The 22,116-nt window shown below is 41.8% G+C and overlaps 1 protein-coding gene and 1 long non-coding RNA gene across 7 annotated transcripts in view, besides 4 other annotated features; one reads left to right on the top strand and one right to left on the bottom strand.

Moving 5' to 3' along the window:
- Nucleotides 1–22,116, bottom strand: part of MKLN1 (muskelin 1) — a 386,539-nt gene that overhangs the window by 165,981 nt on the left and 198,442 nt on the right. For 4 of the 6 annotated variants that reach the window (NM_001321316.2, NM_013255.5, XM_006715993.4 and 1 more), the window contains exon 1: nt 2,655–2,776. The exons of the other annotated variants lie outside the window; for them this stretch is intronic. Coding sequence is in view for 3 of the 4 variants with exons in the window: in NM_013255.5 (NP_037387.2) it covers nt 2,655–2,752 (98 nt within the window). In the remaining variant the exon portion in view is untranslated. Of the gene's footprint in view, nt 1–2,654; nt 2,777–22,116 lie in introns of those variants that run through there. 6 annotated transcript variants of the gene reach the window in all.
- Nucleotides 1,858–2,434: an enhancer, noted in NCBI's record as "NANOG-H3K27ac-H3K4me1 hESC enhancer chr7:131012977-131013553 (GRCh37/hg19 assembly coordinates)". NCBI's record gives its function as "activates a minimal SCP1, AML or CMV promoter by ChIP-STARR-seq in primed H9 embryonic stem cells {active_cell/tissue: H9 hESC(primed)}" and the evidence as "EXISTENCE:reporter gene assay evidence [ECO:0000049][PMID:30033119]".
- Nucleotides 2,435–3,011: an enhancer, noted in NCBI's record as "NANOG-H3K27ac-H3K4me1 hESC enhancer chr7:131012400-131012976 (GRCh37/hg19 assembly coordinates)". NCBI's record gives its function as "activates a minimal SCP1, AML or CMV promoter by ChIP-STARR-seq in naive and primed H9 embryonic stem cells {active_cell/tissue: H9 hESC(naive and primed)}" and the evidence as "EXISTENCE:reporter gene assay evidence [ECO:0000049][PMID:30033119]".
- Nucleotides 2,441–2,740: an enhancer, noted in NCBI's record as "active region_26676". NCBI's record gives its function as "activates an Ori minimal core promoter by ATAC-STARR-seq in GM12878 lymphoblastoid cells {active_cell/tissue: GM12878}" and the evidence as "EXISTENCE:reporter gene assay evidence [ECO:0000049][PMID:35858748]".
- Nucleotides 2,791–2,950: a silencer, noted in NCBI's record as "silent region_18661". NCBI's record gives its function as "represses an Ori minimal core promoter by ATAC-STARR-seq in GM12878 lymphoblastoid cells {active_cell/tissue: GM12878}" and the evidence as "EXISTENCE:reporter gene assay evidence [ECO:0000049][PMID:35858748]".
- MKLN1-AS (MKLN1 antisense RNA) lies at nt 2,873–20,908 on the top strand. Its single transcript, NR_125364.1, has 6 exons — nt 2,873–3,037; nt 3,717–3,846; nt 6,227–6,349; nt 6,784–7,287; nt 19,429–19,522; nt 19,879–20,908. It is a non-coding gene; the product is annotated as an MKLN1 antisense RNA (long non-coding RNA).

Raw genomic sequence — 22,116 nt, 5'->3', positions numbered from 1 at the left:
CTGATTTCCTGTACTATATATACCTTTGTGCAGAAGCAGTAAAACACTATAGTTAAAGACCACAGACTGTGGAGCCTGACTACCTTGATTCAAATTCTGGTTCCATCTAGCTGTGTGACCTTAGGCAAGTTTAAACTTCTCCCTACCTGCTTCCAACATCTGGCAAACGGAGATTCCTCTTGGGATTGCGGTAAGGATTAAATGAGTTGATACACTTAAAAATGTTCATAAGAGAGCCTAGCAAATGGACGGCACATCATAAATGTTTACCATTTTTGTTACTGATTTATTACTGCCACCTCGAAATGCTTAGATCTATGCCAACAAATATTTGCCACTTTGTGGACAATTTCAACAAATGTCTTTAACCTAAAATGAGACCTGTTTAAGAAGTACCTTAATATGGTTTCCACTGCCAGTAAAGATACAACAATTGCTGCTAGAGGGGATTTTAGGGCAAAGGTAAGTAAAGTCAACCCCTTTCCTACATCTTCTGTCACACAGAGAAGTAATATCCTTGCTTGCTTATAGAAGTTCAGAGCCAAGAGTTTTATAATTTAGGCATGGCACACACCAACCCAGCAGACACAATATTCTCCAACTCCAGCTCCATAATACTCAACTATACTCCTTCAAAGAAAAAAGCTTAGATTACTCTTCTAATACTTTACTTTAAATACAAATTATACTGCATTTGTCAATAGAATGTCATAAGGATTAAACAAGATATAGTAAGTGGAAGTGTATGAAAGTTACGTATGTATTAAATACTATTTTATGTATGTACTTGAGAAAATTGCAGCAATGTATTTCTCCAATCTCAAATTGTTGCTTTCTAACTCCAAAACTAGTGTTCTGCCCACTGCAAACCAGGGGCCAGAGTAACAAGACACAAAAGATTAAAGTTGCCATCCCACTAAATCATTTCCTGCTTGAAATGTACTTTCTTAAAATGTCTATACAACAGATAACGCGGATGGTACTTGTGTTATCCAAGCCTCAGGCCTACATCAAAAATTTAAGGAGTGACGTCCTGGAAATACGCTAATTCAAGACCAGAAAAATGTCTCTACAGTTAGATCAAACAATGCCACACCAATTCCCAACTGTCCATAATCCTAGCCTGGGTATAGAAAAAAGCTGAATAACTTCAGATCCAAGAACAAGATAGCCCAGAATATCAGAGGTCAAGTACATAGGGCCACATTTCAACTCCAACTACATGGCTGGACTGTTTATCTGGCTCACTCTCAAATTCAAAGTTGGGTTTCAGCATCAATCAGGGATATGGCCATGAATAGGCTACGCAGGCCAGATCAAACCACAGGTCACTTGGCACCCTTCATTGGGCCAGATCCTACTGAATGCCAACCCTTGACCTGGTGAATAAAATGGGAGGCTGGCAGTCATGACAGATTCTTCCAGTTGCAGCTCCATTTTGAGATTCTTCATTGATATAACCAGTGAAATCAAATTTGGATAAATGTGAAGAATTTCTCAAATACAGATGGAAAACTTACTTGAGTATGCTTCACAGATCTAGTCACTTTTTTGTTTAGTAAAATACTCAGTAAAATATATTATTCATTAATTTGTTTCGTTCATAAAATCGTTTCGGTCCTGTGAGATGGTTAGAGGGACAACTAGCACTTTTCTTCAGGATCTGCACAGATCTTAACCCTTTACTAAGCCAGTTCCTCCACTAGCATGTAAAATTGGAGTTAGATCTGCTCCTCCTTTCAAAGATAAGCCAAAGATAAATAAGATACTATGTAAGAGTATTTTCAGCATTTCAGAAGGAATTTGCTAGAGAAAAAAACACCACCAACAAAAACCTAACAATGCAACTGAATTTTTTTAACACCTAAATCAGGGATCAAGACAAAGCCGGTGTTGAAAATCAAATTCATTAAAGCCAGATGTTTCTATGTTTGAGTTTCCGGACTGGGAAACGTGTCTGTGTCCATACAAACCCATCTTCTAATGAGCCGTAATACTGAAATTCTTCGGTAACGTCCCTCCTTCCCACTCCCTATCTTTTTCAGAACTTCCAGGCATTAAAGACAACGTCTGCCAATCCTACAAGTTCTCCCCGCCTGCTAGGATTCAGATGGATTCCACAACTTTTCAGCCTTCCGTGACTTTTAACACTACTCTAGAGCTAATCACTTTTAATGACCCCACTCTGGAATAGACACTCCTCGGCTTTACACTTTGTCCCGGCAGCAATCGACTGAACTGTCCCCCGACGCCGACCACCTCGGACGACCTCAGACATTCGGGGTAGTTTGCCCGCGGGCAGGGCCCCGCCAACTCCGATTCCTGCCCCAGAGCCGTCCGCCCCCCAAGCCCTCCTCAACCTCAACCCCCAAATCCCAAGCGCAGAACCGCTGGGCTTCCGGTTCTCCTGTGCGCGCCCCGGATCCGCCACACACCTCGCCCCTTCTCCCTGGGCTCGCTCTCCGGACCCTAACCCCTTCCCGAGCGAGGCCGAGCAACGCTCTCAGCAGCTGAACTAAGACTCCGGAGGCCGCACGTCCCCCTCAGCAGGCCCCGCCTGGGCCTCTCGGCTCGGCTGCCCTCCATTGCACCCCTGGCCCAACCGTGCTGACGCGGAAGGGTGGGGCAGCACGAGCTCAAGGCCCGGCACTTACTCGGGAAGGTAGGTGGAGGAAAAGGAGCTCCACTTGTGTAGCGCGTAGGGGAGAAGCCGGCACTCGGGCGCCGCAGCGACAGCTCCGCCAGCCGCCATCTTGTCAGCACCGTAGCGGCCGCCACCGACCGCTGGCAGCGAACGGGAGGAGGGGAGGGGGCGTGGCCTGCTCTTAAAGGGGCCGCCGCCCTCCCCGGCCGCCCGCGCTCCCCGCCCCGCATCGTTACCCGAGCCCAGCGCCGGGCCAATGTCCTATCTCAGGGTTTCCCACGTCGCTCGCTCCTTGACGGCTGACCGACACTGGGTCTGAGGTGTAAGCGCTTTCCAGGCCCTTCCCTGGGGCTTGGAGGGGAATGGCGCAAAGGACTTTTCTTACAAGCAGAGGTAAGGAAAAGCCGAGATGATTACGAACAGAAACACGTTGTAGTTATGGAGCAGGAAGGGAAAATAAGAAGACCAAGTTGGAAAAGGGACGCCTGTGCGCTTTTGGAAGCCACCGCCCTCGCCAGTTTATAAGTCCTTTACGGAAACAACACTGAAGGGAGCTGGAGGGCAGTAGCTAATGTGCTGTCCTCCTGGAGTGGTCCTGGTTTTAAATGTCTTGTCCCCGCCTTCCAGAGTCAGATGGAGACAGGAAAAGGAAATGGTCCCGTGTCCTCCTACCCTGTTTGGTTTGCAGTCTGTGATGCCCTTCATTGTAAACATTTCTTGTGAGCCGCATCCTACTAATCTTGTGGCATTGGTTTGCTCGGGAATGACGTTCACCCACAGACCTGAAAAGTCCTTACAGAGTTGGGAAGCTGCGTGTCATCATTTTTTCAGTTGGCAAATCTGCCCACTTTGAACTGACATAATTGTAGCCTAAAAGTTCAGAGAGAGAGTAGTTCAGGAAAAAGACTATTCCTTCTTCTTAGAGGGAACAGCAGCCCTGAAAACTATGTGGACATCATACCAGCTTCTTACAACAAAAGGTGCACTTGGTCTAAATTATCTGGCAGCTCTAGATAACGTTCTCATCAAGTACCTGTTTGTTGTAGTTATGCATATTTATTCCTTGGCTTAGCCACTGCAGTTACCAAAGAGTATGTCGCTTATTGTCTAAGAGGTTGGACTCCTGAAAGCCTGGACAGTGTCATCATCTTCACCTGAAGAGTGGAAAAATTCAAGCAAAGAGTTTCTCAGGAAATGACCAAGTGAGTCAAAACACCTCAATAATTGTATTCTCTTCCCGTTGTAATCATTAACCTGCCGAAATTCCCTCCAGTCCTTTCCTGACTTCCTGTTTCTATAGATGGAAATTTTAATAGTGGGCTCTACTAGGATATCAAATCAAAAAAGCCAGATAGAAAGGCCAGGCCCGGCACGGTGGCTCACACCTGTAATCCCAGCACGTTGGGAGGCTGAGGTGGGTGGATCACCTGAGGTCAGGAGTTCGAAACCAGCGTGGCCAACATGGTGAAACCCCGTCTCTACTAAAAATACAAAAGTTAGCTGCGTGTGGTGACATACACCTATAATCTCAGCTACTTGGGAGGCCGAGGCACAAGAATCACTTGAACCCAGGAGGCAGAGGTTGCAGTGAGCCAAGATCACACCACTGCACTCCAGCCTGGGCAACAGAGTGAAATTCTGTCTCAGAAAAACAAATAAAATACAATAAAATAAAAAATTACATGTGCTTTCTGTGTTGCAGCAGGTTGGAAAAGCATGTGTTCCTTAAGGGAATGCTGTAACTGTAGTGACTTGGGTCGGGAGCTGCCAGAGACAGTGGGAAAGGGCCAGAGAATGTTAGCCCCAGAGATGATATAGTGGTTATCTTTGAAGAAAATAGACACTTTAAAGGGGAGGAATTAACTCACTCCAATTCCTTTGGGCCCCAGATTTTATAATTCCACTTCTTACCTTAATGTAAGTCAAGTCCTTGTTCTTTTCCAGACATAGTTCCTGAGCAATCTTTTTTAAAAACACATGTTAATTAGTTCTTCTTAAGCTTAAATCCTTTTGGTGACTTTCAATACCCTTCTAAACTGTTTAACAGAGGCCCTTCATAACCTGCCTTGATTTTTCTCTCCAGCTTCCTCACCACCACCCCCCCCCCACTTTTCTCCTTTGCGCTTTTGACATCTGCCCACTAACTAGCACACTGAATTTGTTCCCATAGAGTCCTTGTTCTCTCTAGCCTCCGGAGCTTGCTCTAAGCCAGGCATGGAATATTCTTTCCCATTCTTTACCTGGCTAACTCCAGCTCATCCTGTAGACTGTTTGGTCCTGGAAATTTTTTTGGTTTTTTTTTTTTGAGACAGAATCTCACTCTGACTCTGTCACCCAGGATGGAGTGCAGTCACATGAACATGACTCACTGCAGCCTTGACCTCCTGGGTTTAAAGGATCATGCTGCCTCAGCCTCCCATGTAGGTGGGACCACAGGCAGACATCACCACACCAAGCTACTTTTTAAATTTTTTTGTAGACACAGGGTTTCACTCTGTTGCCCAGGCTGGTCTTGAACTCCTGGGCTCAAGCGATCCTCCTGCCTCGGCCTGGCCTCCCAAAGTGCTGGGATTACAGGTATGAGCCACTGCGTCTGGCCGAAAATCTTTCTTCAACACCTGCTCTGGGATTAGGTGACAGTTTTCTTCATTTTTTTTTTCCTATGCAAGCTAACACAGGATAGGTAACATTTTTTACATTTCTCTTAGCACTCTAAGTTTCCCTCTTTATCTTAGCACACATCACAATATATTTTAATTTTCTCTTTTTTCCCCTTTCTTTCTCTCTAAATGATAGCTCCCATGAAGATAAGAGTCATACATATCTTGTTCACAGTTGTATCCTCAGTCCTGTTGATGTGTCTAGCAAATAAAGATGTTCAGTAAATATTTATCAAAGAGTGAATGAATAATGCTAAAAGAGAACTTTAATTAGAGACTTCTGAGTTGCAAAGGAAAAAAAAAATGCCAGCACTTCTCAGACTACAAACGTGTATCCCTGAGGTATAATTGCTACTCAGAAGGTAAAGACCCAGGATAGCATGGCTTTCCTGCATCACAAATTTTATAAATGGTAAAATAATTTAAAGCATTCCTATGTTAACATACAGACAGCTATATTATGATACCAAGACGAAAATTTGTTTAAATGTTAAGAAAAGAACTTTATCTGAGGAATGCAAATCCTTTTAAATTATGAGGCCCAGAGAGGCATTAAAGTGAAACAGCAATCCTGTCCTTCTCCCCCACTTTTGAACTGTGTATTTGTCTCTTGAAACTGCTTACTATTGCCACAGAAGCTAAACATTAACCTACTAATTAATGCTGCACCAGACATTATAACCCTCATCCTATAGTTTCATAATGTATAGCCAATCAGTAGCTTGATTTATTTTAATGTAAATTCTTGGTAAATAACTCAGGCACTGCCTCATCTTTCCCTTTAAAAATCCACTTGTAACTGCTGCTACTCAGAGTGTATATTCAAGGCAACCTGAATCTATGTTCCCAGGTTGCAGTCATCAAGCTTGGCCCAAATAAACTCCCAACTTATATTAATTTTGCCTCCGCTTCTTCCTTTTAGGTAAAACATCTGGAGTAAGTCAGCAGGATTCACAGTGACTCCCCCCAACCAGCTGGTGGTGTTTCTCTCTGAAAGCAGCGCTTGGTACCAGTGTGAACTCTCTTCCTTCAGAAGTCTCATCAGGTGTTTCAGATGAGTTCTCCGGAATTTGGACCTCCTACTCTTGGGTTGAAGGTCTAGACTTTATTTGGGCTGTTTTTCAAACCCTTTCTTTAAGTGTGAGGGCTTCGGTCTCTGTCTTTGGACAGAAGATTCGGGTATAGAGCTCTGCAGGGAACTGCCTTTTTTCCCTCTCTGTCTTACAGCAGAGGTGCAGGTCATGGTTTTTCTGCCTCTGCCTCAGAACCAGGGGTTTGGGTCAAGTTTTTTTCACCTCTGTCTCACAGCAGAGGTTTGAGTGAAAGAACTGGCAGTTAGGCACCAGTGGTTTCATTTTATATCGTATGTGTTTGAGATAGCAGTTGTTTACTATCACTTGAAAATTCTGAATTAGTCTTTAATTTTAACTAATTCCTGTTAGTTCCTAACTGAAATGTGTACCCCTTTTGCTCTTCCAGGTGGACGTAATACGAGGGTCTGGTCCCCCATACCTTGAGGACTCCGCTGCCATCTGACAATTACAGACAATCCAATTGTCCTCATCCTTGAGGACTCTGCTGCCATCTGACAATTAGAGACAGTCCAAAACATGCCACACTTTGATCCTAAACACATTCCTGGCTTTGGTCACTTTTGAAAAGTTCCTGAGTTATGAGAAATCAATAATAAGAGTGTTCAAAACCTGAACACTCTTTTTAGAAATACCTGCTGGAACTACATATATGATTTATGGGGTACTGTCTTGTAGTATCTGGGAAAGTAGACCCATCTAACCTGGAATGATCATAGGCAACAATGACCAAAAATGGGGATCTTTTGATATACCTAAAGTAATTTATTTGTGCACACCATTGGAAAGAGCTGGTTTTAGAACCAGACATGTAAATAAGAGACTGACTTCCACTGGCACCTAAAAACTTCTAAAAGAAATCCTGAAAGAAAAAGTCACCTTCATTCAAGAGGTAAACAAAGGGATATTTGAAACTATGTTAAAAGACTTCAGAGGCTTTCTCCCTTTCACCTCCAGACCCTCCTTTTCCTTCCAGCCCTGTGATCTGAACTCATCCCTTTCTGCCGCTTCTCTTGGCTTCCATACATCTCTTAGGCAGAGATGTTTTAAAATTTCACAATGTACACATTTCCTTCTCTCAGGGGAAATGAATTTAAATTTAGAGCAGAAGGAACAAGCAGAACAACAACAGAATGGGAATAAGACTGCTGAGACTATAAAAATGCAGATCCAACAAAATTTTTTCTCACCAGGTCTAGTGAATGACACTGTGATATGGTCTGGCTCTGTGTTCCCAACAAAATGTCATCTCGAATTGTAATCCCCACGTGTCGGGGGAGAAGCCTGGTGGGAGATGATTGGATCATGGAGGCAGTTTCCCCCATGCTGTTTTCATGATAGGGAGGGAGTTCTTACGAGATGTGATGGTTTAAAAGTGTTTGGCAGTGGCCGGGCGCGGTGGCTCACGCCTGTAATCCCAGCACTTTGGGAGGCCGAGGCGGGTGGATCATGAGGTCAGGAGATCGAGACCATCCTGGCTAACAAGGTGAAACCCCGTCTCTACTAAAAATACAAAAAATTAGCCGGGCGCGGTGGCGGGCGCCTGTAGTCCCAGCTACTCGGGAGGCTGAGGCAGGAGAATGGCGTGAACCCGGGAAGCGGAGCTTGCAGTGAGCCGAGATTGCGCCACTGCAGTCCGCAGTCCGGCCTGGGCGACAGAGCGAGACTCCGTCTCAAAAAAAAAAAAAAAAAAAAAAAAGTGTTTGGCAGTTCCCTTTCTGGCTTTCTCTCTCCTACTGCCTTGTGAAGAAGGTGCTTGCTTCTCCTTCACCTTCCACCCTGATTTTAAGTTTCCTGAGGCCTCCCCAGCCATGTAGAACTGTGAGTCAATTAAACCAATTTTATTTATAAATTATCCGGTCTCAGGTAGTTCTTTATAGCAGTGTGAGAATGAACTAATACACACTGATTTATTGACCCACTGTGAGACAGTACCCTTTAAATCTTATCATGTCTTTAAAATGCTAACATTCAGGGAATTAGCTAAGCAGCATTCCAGATGAGATCAGATCTAAGACAAGATAAAATCCTTAAATGCTTAAACTGCCTGCTTTGGATTCCCTGCAAAATTTACCAAAAAACAAACACACAAACAAAAAAATGAAAACAAAAACAAAGAAAACACCCCATCCAGTGGTATAATGGCTAGGATTTGGTGCTTTCACCACTGTAGCCTGAGTTCAATTCCTAGCCAGGGAGCTAATCTCATTTGTTTTAAAGTATTGTATGATTCTTAACCTTTTGGGATACCAATTGTTATTGATCCTTATCTCTTCCATGGACAACTTTTGATTTCCTGTCTTTTTCCATTTGTGGGACATACAGACCATTTGGGCCTTCATGAGTAACCAGCTGAGAAGCTGAGATCAGATAGAAATGTGAGTTGTACTTTACTTGTGGCTAGTGAAACTTCCCTTTCTTTGAGCTGTCTTTGGGATGATTCTTGATCTTGTGAGGACTGTGTTGCACCTCCTTTGGAGATGCCCCATGCATCCTTGGTTAAGTCATAACCTTGATAAAGGCTTATTGGTTTTGGTGAGTCATTTGGAAGGGTACCTTTGTTTTTTGTTTGTTTGTTTGTTTTTTAAAGTTCAAAAGCCAGGAATAACAGCTATTTGTGCTGGCTAATACTTGATAATGAGAGATTTGAAAAGTTTTTATTTTTTTTAAATTTTACTTTAAATTCTGCGATACATGTGCAGAATGTACAGGTTTGTTACATAGATATACTTGTGCCATGGTGGTGTGCTACACTTACCAACTGTCATCTAGGTTTTAAGCCCCACGTGCATTAGGTATTTGTCCTAATGTTCTCCCTTCCCTTGGCCCCACCCCGACTGGCCCCGGTGTTTAATGTTCTTCTTGTGTCCATCTATTCTCATTGTTCATCTCCCACTTATTAGTGAGAACATGTGGTGTTTGGTTTTCTGTTCCTGTGTTAATTTGCTGAGAATGATGGCTTCCAGCGTCATCCATGTCCCTGGAAAGGACATGAACTCTTTTTTTATAGCTGCATAGTATTCCATGGTGTTTATGTGCCACATTTTCTTTTTCCAGCTTGTCATTGATGGGCATTTGGGTTGGTTCCAAGTCTTTGCTATTGTAAAGTGCTGCGGCAAACACACATGTGCATGTGTCTTTATACCAGAATGATTTATAACCCTTTTGGTGTATATCCAGTAATGGGATTGCTGGGTCAAATGGTGTTTCTGGTTCTAGATGCTTGAGGAATCACCACACTGTCTTCCACAATGGTTGGATTAATTTACACTCTCACCAACAAGTGTAAAAGCATTCCTGTTTCTCCACAGCATTGCCAGCATCTGTTGTTTCCTGACTTTTTAATAATTGCCATTCTAACTGGTATTAGATAGTATCTCACTGTGGTTTTGAGTTGCATTTCTCTAATGACCACTGATGATGAGCTATTTTTCATATGTTTGTTGGCCACATCAATCTCTTCTTCTGGAAGTGTCTGTTCATATTCTTTGCCCACTTTTTGTTGGGGTTGTTTGTTTTTTTTCTTGAAAATTTGTTTAAGTTCCTTGTAGATTCTGGATATTAGACCTTTGACACATGGGTAGATTGCAAAATTTTTCTCTCATTCTGTAGGTTGCCTTTTCACTCTGGTGATAGTTTCTTTTGCTGTGCAGAAACTCTTTAGTTTAATTAGATCCCATTTGTCAATTTTTGCTTTTGTTGCAATTGCTTTTGGTGTTTTAGTCATGAAGTCTTTGCCCATGCCTATGTCCTGAATGGTATTGCCTAGGTTTTCTTCTAGGGTTTTTATGGCTTGGGGTTTTACATTTAAGTCTTTAATCTATCTTGAGTTAATTTTTGTATAAGGTGTAAGGAGGGGGTCCAGTTTCTGTTTTCTGCATATGGCTAGCTAGTTTTCCCAGCACCATTTATTAAATAGGGAATTCTTTCCCCATTGCTTGTTTTTGTCAGGTTTGTCAAAGATCAGATGGTTGTAGATGTGTGGTGTTATTTCTGAGGTCTCTGTTCTGTTCCATTGGTCTATGTATCTGTTTTGGTACCAGTATCATGCTGTTTTGGTTACTGTAGCCTTGCAGTATAGTTTGAGGTCAGGTAGCGTGCTGCCTCCAACTTTGTTATTTTTGCTTATGATTGTCTTGGCTATGCAGGCTCTTTCTTGGTTCCATATTAAATTTAAAGTAGTTTTTTATAATTCTGCAAAGAAACTCAATGGTAGCTTAATGGGAGTAGCATTGAATCTATAAATTACTTTGGGCAGTATGGCCATTTTCATGATATTGATTCTTCCTATCCATGAGCATGGAATTTTTTTCCATTTGTTTGAGTCCTCTCATTTCCTTGAGCAGTGGTTTGTAGTTCTCCTTGAAAAGATCCTTCACGTCCCTTGAAAACTGTATTCCTAGGTATTTTATTCTCTTTGTAGCAATTGTGAATGGGAGTTCACTCGTGATTTGGCTCTCTGTTCTCTATGATTGGTGTACAGGAATGCTTGCGATTTTTGATCCTGAGACTTTGCTGAAGTTGCCTGTCAGCTTAAGGAGATTTTGGGGCTCAGACAATGGGTTTTCTAAATATATAATCATGTCGTCTGCAAACAGAGACAAGTTGACTTCCTCTCTTTCTATTTGAATACCCTTTATTTCTTTCTCTTGCCTGAGTGCCCTGGGCCAGAACTTCCAATACTATGTTGAATAGGAGTGGTGAGAGAGGGCATCCTTGTCTTGTGCCAGTTTTCAAAGGGAATGCCTCCAGCTTTTGCCCATTCAGTATGATCTTGGCTATGGGTTTGTCATAAATAGCTCTTAATATTTTGAGATATGTTCTATCAATACCTAGTTTATTGAGAGTTTTTAACATGAAGAGATGTTGAATTTCATCGAAGGCCTTTTCTGTATCTATTGAGATAATCGTGGTTTTTGTCATTGGTTCTGTTTACGTGATAGATTACGTTTGTTGATTTGCATATGTTGAACCAGCCTTGCACCCCAATGATGAAGCCAACTTGATTGTGGTGGATAAGCTTTTTGATGTGCTGCTGGATTCGGTTTGCCAATATTTTATTGAGGATTTTCACATCGATGTTCATCAGGGATATTGGCCTGAAATTTTCTTTTTTTGTTGTGTCTTTGCCAGGTTTTGGTATCAGGAGGACGCTGGCCTCATAAAATGAGTTAGGGAGGAGTCCCTCTTTTTCTGTTGTTTGGAATAGTTTCAGAAGGAATGGTACCAGCTCCTCTTTGTACCTCTGGTAGAATTCGGCTGTCAGTCTCTCTGGTCCTGGGCTTTTTTTGGTTGGTAGGCTATTAACTACTGCCTCAATTTCAGAGCCTGTTATTGGTCTATTCAGGGATTCGACTTCTTCCTGGTTTAGTCTTGGGAGGGTGTATGTGTCCAGGAATTTATCCATTTCTTCTAGATCTTCTAGTTTATTTGCATAGAGGTGTTTATAGTATTCTCTGATGGTAGTTTGTATTTCTGTGGGATCAGTGGTGATATCCCCTTTATCATTTTTTATTGTGTCTATTTGATTCTTGTCTCTTCTTTGTTAGTCTAGCTAGTGGTCTATTTTGTTAATTTTTTAAAAAAACTACCTCTGGATTCATTGATTTTTTGAAGGGTTTTTTGTGTCTCTATCTCCTTCAGTTCTGCTTTGATCTTAGTTATTTCTTGTCTTCTGCTAGCTTTTGAATTTGTTTGCTCTTGCTTCTCTAGTTCTTTTAATTGTGATGTTAGGGTGACGATTTCAGATCTTTCCAGCTTTCTGATATGGGCATTCAGTGCTATAAATTTCCATCTTAACACTGCTTTAGCTGTGTCCCAGAGATTCTGGTACATTGTCTTTTTGTTCTCATTGGTTTCGAAGAACTTCTTTATCTGCCTTAATTTCGATATTTATCCAGGAGTCATTCAGGAGCAGGTTGTTCAATTTCCATGTAATTGTGCAGTTTTGAGTGAGTTTCTTAATCCTGAGTTCTAATTTAATTGCACTGTGGTCTGAGAGACTGTTATGATTTCCATTCTTTTGCATTTGCTAAGGAGTGTTTTACTTCCTATTATGTGGTCAATTTTAGAATAACTGCCATGAGGTACTGAGAAGAATGTATATTCTGTTGATCTGGGGTGGAGAGTTCTATAGATATCTATTAAGTCCACTTGATCCAGAGCTGAGTACAAGTCCTGAATATCTTTGTTAATGTTCTGTCTTGTTGATCTGTCTAATATTGACAGTGTGGTGTTAAAGTCTCCCACTATTATTGTGTGGGAGTCTAAGTCTCTTTATAGGTCTCTAAGAACTTGTTTTATGAATCTGGGTGCTCCTGTATTGGGTGCATATATATTTAGGATAGTTAGCTCTTCTCTAACTATTGTTAGTTGCATTGATCCCTTTACCATTCTGTAATGCCCTTGTCTTTTTTGAACTTTTTGGGTTTAAAGTTTGTTTTATCAGAGACTAGGATTGCAACCCCTGCTTTTTTTTTTTTTTTTTTTTTGCTTTCCATTTGCTCGTCCCTTTATTTTGAGCCTATGTATGTCTTTGCATGTGAGATGGGTCTCCTAAATACAGCACACTGATGGGTCTTGACTCTATCCAATTTGCCAGTCTGTGTCTTTTAATTAGGGCGTTCAGCCTATTTACATTTAATGTTAATATTATTATATGTGAATTTGATCCTGTCATCATGATGCTAGCTGGTTATTTTACACATTAGTTGATGCAGTTTCTTCATAGTGTCACTGGTCTTTATATTTTGGTATGTTTTTGCAGTGGCTGGTACTGGTTTTTCCTTTCCATATTTAGTGCTTCCTTCAGGAGCTTTTGTAAGACCAGCCTGGTGGTGACAAAATCCCTCAGCATTTGCCTGTTTGGGAAGGATTTTATTTCTCCTTTGCTTAAGAAGCTTAGTTTGGTTGGGTATGAAATTCTGGGTTGAAAATTCTTTTCTTTAAGAATGTTGAATATTGGCCCTCACTCTCTTCTGGCTTGTAGGGTTTCTGCAGAGAGATCTGCTGTTAGTCTGACGGGCTTCCCTTTGTAGGTTACCTGAACTTTCTCTGTGTCTGCCCTTAACATTTTTTCCTTCGTTTCAATGTTTGGGAATCTGATGATTATGTGTCTTGGGGTTGATCTTCTCAAGGAATATCTTAGTGGTGTTCTCTGTATTTCCTGAATTTGAATGTTGGTCTGTCTTGCTAGGTTGGGGAAGTTCTGGATAATATCCTGAAGTGTGTTTTCCAACTTGGTTCCATTCTCCCCATCACTTTCAGATACACCAATCAATCGTAGGTTTAGTCTTTTCACATAGCCCCATATTTCTTGGAGGCTTTGTTCATTCCTTTTCATTCTTTTTTCTCTAATCTTGTCTTCACACCTTATTTCAGCAAGGTGATCTTCAATCTCTGATATCCTTTCTTCCACTTGATTGTTTCAGCTATTGATACTTGTGTATGCTTCAGGAAGTTCTTGTGCTGTGTTTTTCAGCTCCATCAGGTCATTTATGTTCCTCTCTAAACTGGTTATTCTAGTTAGCAGTTCCTGTAACCTTTTATCAAGGTTCTTAGCTTCCTTGCATTGGGTTAGAACATGTTCCTTTAGCTCAAAGGAGTTTGTTATTACCTACCTTCTGAAGCCTACTTCTGTCAATTCGTTAATCTCATTATTTGTCCAGTTTTGTGTCCTTGCTGGAGAGGAGTTGCGATCATTTGGAGGAGAGGAGGCATTCTGGTTTTTGGAATTTTCAGTGTTTTTGTGCTGGCTTTTCCTCATCTTCGTGGATTTATCTACCTTTGATATTTGAGGCTGATGACATTTGGATGGGAGTTTTTGTGTGGGAGTCTTTTTTGTTGATGATGTTGTTGTTGCTTTCTGTTTGTTAGTTTTTCTTCTAACAGTCAGGCCCCTCTTCTGCAAGTCTGCTGCAGTTTGCTAAACATCCTCTCTAGACCCTATTTGCCTGGGTATCACCAGTGGAGGTTGCAGAACAGCAAAGATTGCTGCCTGCTCCTTCCTCTGTAAGCTTTGTCCCAGAGGGGCACCAGCCTGATGCCAGCCGGAGCTCTCCTATATGAGGTGTCTGTCAACCCCTGTTGGGAGGTTTCTGTCAAGCCCTGTTGGGAGGTTTCTCCCAGTCAGGAGGCATGGGGGTCAGGGACCCACTTAAGGAGGCACTTCATCCCTTTGCAGAGCTGGTACCCTGTGTTGGGAGAATACCCTTTGTCAGGATCAGCTGCTCTCTTCAGAGCCAGCAGGCAGGAAAGATTAAGGCTGCTGAAGCTGTGCCCACAGCAGCCCCTCCGCAGTGCTCTGGGGACAATCCAGTGCTCTGTCCCAGGGAGGTGAGAGTTTTATCTGTAAGCCCCTGACTGGGGCTGTTACCTTTGCTTCAGAGATGCCCTGCCCAGTGAGGAGGAATCTAGAGAAGCAGTCTGGCCACAGCCGCTTTGCCACACTGTGGTGAATTCTGCCCAGTCCAAACCTCCCAGTCTCCTTATCACTATCAGGGGAAAACTGCCTACTAAAGCCTCAGTAATGGCAGATGCCCCTCCCCCCACCAAGCTCAATTGTCCCAGGTTGACTTCAGACTGGTGTGCTGGCAGTGAGAATTTCAAGCCAGTGGTTCTTAGCTTTCTGGGCTCCGTGGGAGTGGGACCCACTTAGCAAGACCACTTGACTCCCTGGCTTCAGCCTCCTTTCCAGGGGAGTGAACAGTTCTGTCTCACTGGGGTTCCAGGCGCCACTGGGGTATGAAAAAACTGTAGCTAGCTCAGTGCCTGCCCAAACAGCCTCCTGGTTTTGTGCTTGAAACCCAGGGCCCTGGTGGTGTAGGCTCACGAAGGACTCTCCTGATCTCCGGCTTGCAAATACCGTGGGAAAAGCATAGTATCCAGGCTGGGTAGCACAGTCCCTCACGGCTTCCCTTGGCTAGGGGAGGGAGGTCCCCCAGCTCCTTGCACTTCCGTGGTGAAGCAATGCCCCACCCTTCTGCTTGCTCTCCATGGGTTGCACCCACTGTCTAACCAGTCCCAATGGAATGAACTGGGTACCTTAGTTGGAAATGAAGAAATCACCTGCCTTCTGCATTGGTCTCGCTGGGAGCTGCAGACTGGAGCTGTTTCTATTCGGCCATCTTGGCCCCTTCTCGAAAAGTGTTTAAGAACTCCATAGTCAAAAGCCAGCTTCATTAAAAACAGATTCACGCAGGCATGGTGGCTGATGTCTGTAATCCCAGCCCACTTCGGGAGGCCACAGTGGGAGGATTGCTTGAGTCCGGCCTGGTCAATGTAATGAGTCCCTGTCTCTACAAAAAGTAAAAGCAAAACTTATCTTGGCATGGTGGTGTGTGCCTGTAGTCCCAGCTGCTTAGGAAGCTGAGGTCGAGGATCATTTAAGCCCAGAATGTGTCAAGGCTAGATGAACTGTAATCATGTCACACCGCACTCCCGCTTGTGTGACAGAGCAACACCCTGTTTCTATTTTTTTATTTTTCTTTCAGTACCGCAGAACAGAGAGACCCTCTCTCTCAAAACAACAAACAAGGGCTGGGCGCGGTGGCTCAAGCCTGTAATCCCAGCACTTTGGGTGGCCAAGGCAAGCAGATCACGAGGTCAGGAGATCGACACTGTCCTGGCTAATACGGTGAAACCCCGTCTCTACTAAAAATACAAAAAATTAGCTAGGCGTGGTGGCAGGTGCCTGTAGTCCCAGCTACTCGGGAGGCTGAGGCAGGAGAATGGTGTGAACCTGGGACGCGGAGCTTGCAGTGAGCCGAGATCGTACCACTGCATTCCAGCCTGGGTGACAGAGCGAGACTCCATCTCAAAAACAAACAAACAAAAATGAGATTCAACCTCCTCCCATCTCTCTGCTGTCTTCAGTACCACATGAAAAGATCTAGAGGAGACTTCTAATGACTCAGACCCCTAAAGGAAGACAGAAAAAGCTGCCTCTCACTCCCTTTCTGGGGTCTTCTGTCTTCCTGTGGAGTGTGAAGAGTCATGGAGAGATTTCATGACAGTTTCCAGCACAAAACTCTGCTCTCTTTTGTATCGTGTCGCCTGATCCCTTTGACTTTTAGGAGTACTGGATATTACTTTGTTCTGTGAGAGAACACTTAACCTTTGTGTATGTGATGGCTGGCAAGTTACTGGAGGTGGCTGACAGCAGTTGTTTACAGTGAATGGTTATTATTATTACTACAGGGAGTTACTGGTTTCTTTGCTGGTTAAGATAAGAAAGGCACGGTTTAAATACTTAGAGAAATGTTTTTGTATTGAAGTACACCATGAAAGTGTTGCATAGCCCAGTCCCATGGAGTTTCCCTCTTTTTGGGGACCCAGGATTCAGCCTAAAAATGGAATCCTTAATTTATAAAGCTCTAGATGCTCTGCCTTCAATTGCATCTGCTTTTCACATATTTAAATTATTAGGCTCTAAAAACTGTAAATGCTTTGATGGCCCTGCTCCTTAATGGGCTCTGCCCTGAGCTCAGTGATCCAACTGGAAAACAGACTAAATTAAAAGCTACTTATCTAAGTGAAATAGGTCTCCTTATAAAATCCAATGATAGATTCCTGTGATTTTGTATTACCTTGGCATCCATTTTTAATTTTCTTCCAACACACCCAAACTCCTCCTTGAAAAGGCTTAAATTCTTTCTCCTTGTACTTTGAGATATAAAGTTACTACTGCATTTTCTCTAAAACTCAGTACGAGCTTCAGCCATGTGGAACAGATAAACTTTAAACTTTTCCATTTACAAAGGTACAGTTTGAATCCAACTGTCCTTGTAAAACTAGTGAGTTTTACCAGTCTCATGACTAAAATTTTTTTCTCTGCTTGGTTTTGTTTTGTTTTTCTTACCTCAGTTCACCAGCAGTTTCAATGTGGCTAAAATTTTTTAATTAAAGCTATGAAGTCATTATCTGTGTCTGTCTGATTTATGTGTACCATGTATACATGTCTGTTTATATATTGTCTACATGGTACCACTGACTTATAGAAAACGTGCTCATAAATAATATAACCAACCCAAATGCTTTCCATGGTCACTTGACTTTAGTAATCTTGGGTTTAAATTAAGATAGTTTTTAAATTATTGGTAAAGTAAAATAGAAACGTCTTCAAATTTTAATTTAGACATGTTTGCCTAGATCTATTGGTTAGACTGGTTTATACTGTCTCTGCTAAATGTCTTAAGGTCATAAGGCCATTGCTTTTATGGTATTTTTTGGTATTTGCTTAATTTGTCTATGAGCTTATGTCTTTGGATTTGAGCCTTTAGATTCTGAGGACTAGACAAGTGGCCCTGGGGACAGTGCCTGGGCCCCATCATCCCTAGTTGAGCTGTGCCTCTTGGCTTTACTGCAAGGAGTTGGATCCTCCAGGCATTGTCTCCATAGCACTGTCATTTGTCCTGAGCTCTGCATACGGTACATAAAGTTGCTTACTTCTTAGGTTTTTCACTGAAAATTAGGGTTACTAAGAGTTAACATTGTGGTTAATATATGTAACTAAAACTACTAGGCCAGAAATTTACATAGAGAGCATATAAAGAAGATGTAAAGAAAGTTGAAAAGGGTAATTTTTTTCCTTTACGTAAGAGGGGACTTTGGTCAAAATGATAAGGGGGATAGTAAATCTTTGTCCTAAGTAGAATACCAATATAAGAAAAATGAAGTATAGGACAAAACTGAAGGTGTAAGCAAGTTGTAAAAGGTTTGTATAAGATTAATCTCATGAAAAGAATTTTGTATGTGATAAAGTTGGCTAAAATTAGAAGGAGATTATTAACTTTTCTAAAAATTATGCATTGATATTTAAAGCACACTGATGTGGGACCCCTGTTTCAGAATAACAGGGCTTTCTTGGAGCATTAATCTGCTCTTTAATAGAAAAATTTTTAAAGGTTATAGAAATTTTATGCAGTTAAAACTGAGGGCTAGATGCGGTGGCTCACACCTGTAATCCCAGCACTTTGGAAGGGTGAGGTGGGCAGATCACCTGAGGTCAGGAGTTTGAGACCAGCCTGGCCAACATGGTGAAACACCATCTCTACTAAAAATACAAAAATTAGCTGGGTATGGTGATAGGTGCCTGTAATCCCAGCTACTTGGGAGGCTGAGGCAGGAGAATCACTTGAACCCGGGAGGCAGAGGTTGCAGTGAGCTGAGATCAGGTCATTGCACTCCAGCCTGGGTAACAAGAGTGAGACTCCATCTAAAACAAACAAACAAACAAACAAACAAAAAACAAAAAAAAATACCTGCCTGAGATTTGATAGATTTGTTTATAAGGATTTAATGAAATTAGCCTTAGGATTAATAATATACTGATGCAAAAGTAAAATTTGGTTTTCTCTTTTGAATAAGATTTTTAAGTATTTTTAAGAAACAGTAAAAAAAAGTTCACCTTTTAAGTAAAAAAAAAAAATGGGAAAGAGAGATTCTGTTGGTCTCATGCCGTCTTTATAAGGTCTTTGGATTGTTTGGAAAACCGAGTTTACTCTCTATCAAAGAGTAAAGGGTTTTGCTTTTTGCAATCTTTGAATTATCACTTTGGCTAAATGAATGAATACTATTTTACAGTGACTTATGATCCTATTTGGTCAAATATTTTAAACTTTTAAATTGGACATACTTCCTAAAATCAAATTTCAAATTCTAAAATTAAGTATTTTCCAAAAGGAACCTCTGGAAGTCCAAGAGAGGAATATTAGGCATATTTAGCATGTTAAAATCATATGGAAAGCATTGTCAAAGAAATAATGGTGTTTAACTTTCTTTGAGTTATATTAGGATGAATGTGTTTTGTATGAGATTCCTAAAATTTTAATGTGTCTTGGTATATGTTATCAGTCATAATTATGATTATTATGTTAAACTGTTGTAAACCACAGGAATAACCAAATTTCCTTGTCAATTGCATCTTTAACCATGGCTATTCTAAGTCTTTTGCTATCTAAAACAATTAGTTTTATTTCTCTTCTCATAAAGCAGTTACAATTGTCTATAATTCAAAATTTGCTTTTTCTTCAAGGAAATTCATAGAATAGGACCCTGACAAGTACTCTTGAATACAGGTTTCTGATAACTTTGGAGATCATATCATTGGACTAAGTAACAACTTTCAGGTATGTAATAAACTGATGTGTTCCTTAGATTGCTAACTCAACATCAAGCAGAACACGAATTAATTACATGTGACTGAACTGACAGAAGACTGAAAAGATTTGCTGACTTTTTATTTAAAACATTGCTGGTTTTTTTTTTTATTTTGTCTTCCAGAGTCAAGAAAACTTTTTTTCCTTGAGCTATTTATTTATACTTTATAACAATTGGGTAAAAATACCTTTGTGAACAACATTGAAACATCTGCCTTTCTCTCTACCTGATTACTCCAAAATTTGGAAACTATTCATGAGTACTCTTATTTTATGGCAATCTAGTTATTTGCATACATTTAATAAGAATCTTTTTTCTGTAACAGGATATAATTGGAGACACTTGTTATTTTACTAAGGATTTGACTGGAATGACATATTTTCAGATATGACCAGACTGCTTTGAAGAATGGAGGTTGACTCTATAGAGGCAATTAGAAAGCCTCTTGGAAAGACTGGCCTGGTCCCTTGTCTACGTAGTTCCCTTTCAAGATTTCTGTCCTGTGTTAAGTAAAGAATGTCACTTTCTGACAGGCCTGGGAACCTCAAAATATTTCCGCTGTGTATCTCTCATTGTTTTATTTCTTCTGAGAAAACTAAATTCATGGTACACTGAAGAGGTGATTCCACAAGTGATGGCAGCTATAAATCAATGACTGGTAGGACTACCTGGGCATGAGCCTTTCTGGCAATGAGGGATACCTTGACACTCAGATTTTGATCATCAGTGCTTTCAAAAGGAAAGATTTTTGATCAAAAGGAAGAAATGAGAAAAAGAACTTTTATCTGAAGAATGCAAGTCCTTTCCAATTATCAGATCCAGAGAGGTATTAAAATGAGACGGCAATCCTGTCCTACACACACCCCCTTTTGAGGCATGTACTCATCTTTTTATACTGCTTACTATTGCCACAAGTAGCTGAAAATTAGCCTACTGGTGCTGCACCAGACATTATAACCCATATCCTATAGCTTAATAATGGATAGCCAATCAACAGCTTATGTTATGTTAATGTAAATTATTGGTAAATAACTCAGGAACTGCCTCTTCTTTCCTTTTAAAAACCCACTTGTGGGCCGGGCGTGGTGGCTCACGCCTGTAATCCCAGCATTTTGGGAGGCCAAGGTGGGCGGATCACAAGGTGAGGAGATCAAGACCATCCTGGATAACACAGTGAAACCCTGTCTCTACTAAAAATACAAAAAATTAGCCGGGCGTGGTGGCGGGCACCTGTAGTCCCAGCTACTCGGGAGGCTGAGGCAGGAGAAAGGCGTGAACCCAGGAAGCAGAGCTTGCAGTGAGCTGACATGGCACCACTGCACTCCAGCCCGGGCAACAGTGCGAGGCCCTGTCTCAAAAAAAAAAAAAAAAAAAAAATCCACTTGTGGCTGAGTGTGGTGGTTCACACCTGTAATCCCAGCACTTTGGGAGGCTGAGGTGGGTGGATCACCTGATGTCAGGAGTTCGAGACCAGCTTAACCAATGTGGCGAAACCCTGTCTCTACTAAAAATACAACAATTAGCCAGCTGTGATGGTGGGTGCCTGTAATCCCAGCTACTTGGGAGTCTGAGGCAGACTCAAGACTTCAAGAATGTCTTGAACCCAGGAGGCGGAGGTTGCAGTGAGCCAAGATCACACCATTGCACTCCAGCATGGGTGACAAGAGTGAAACTGCCTCCAAAAAAAAAAATCCACTTGTAACTGCTGCTACTCAGAATGTATATTCACGGCAACTAGAATCTATGTTACTAAGTTGCAATCCTCAAGCTTGTCCCAAATAAACTCTCTACTTATATTAATTTTGCCTCAGCTTCTTCCTTTTAGGTCAACAATGGTAAGATAAAATAGAAGACAAGAGAAATTTCAAAATCTGCAGGAGGCTCCTAGTAGTTAGACCCTCAGAACTCCTCGGTACATCTTAACTCTCCTTTGTCTACAGGACATGATTTTAAGTGATGGGGTTTATTGTAAGATACACAGGGAAAGCCTGGAAATTATAATCTGTCTAGTTCCCTTGCAATTCGAAGATTGAGACATATTGAACCTTATAGAAAACTGGACAATGGATCATCATTTTTTTAGGCATAACAGCAGCTATGGTGACACACCAGCTCTAGTGACCCAGTTGTCTTATCATCCCCCACAAGCTACCATCTTTACAGAGAGTAAAATCTGTATTCGTCCATTCTCACATTGCTATAAGGAACTACCTAGGTTGGGCATGGTGGCTCACGCCTGTAATCCCAGCACTTTGGGAGGCCAAGGTGGGTGGATCACCTGAGGTTGGGAGTTGGCAGCCAGCTTGACTAACATGGAGAAACCCTGTCTCTACTAAAAATACAAAATTAGCCAGGCGTGGTGGCACATGCCTATAATCCCAGCTACTCAGGAGGCTGAGGCAGGAGAATCACTTGAACCTGGGAGATGGACGTTGCGGTGAGCTGAGATCATGCCATTGCACTACAGCCTGGGCAAAAGGAGTGAAACTCTGTCTCAAAAAAAAAAAAGAAAAAACAAAACAAAAAAAACCTACCTGAGGCCAGGCGCGGTAGCCCATGCCTG

Source organism: Homo sapiens, chromosome 7, assembly GCF_000001405.40.
Source record: "Homo sapiens chromosome 7, GRCh38.p14 Primary Assembly".
In the NCBI taxonomy this organism is placed as follows: domain Eukaryota; kingdom Metazoa; phylum Chordata; class Mammalia; order Primates; family Hominidae; genus Homo; species Homo sapiens.
The sequence above is the reverse complement of the archived record's forward strand: the minus strand, read 5'-3'. Positions and strand labels throughout refer to the sequence as shown.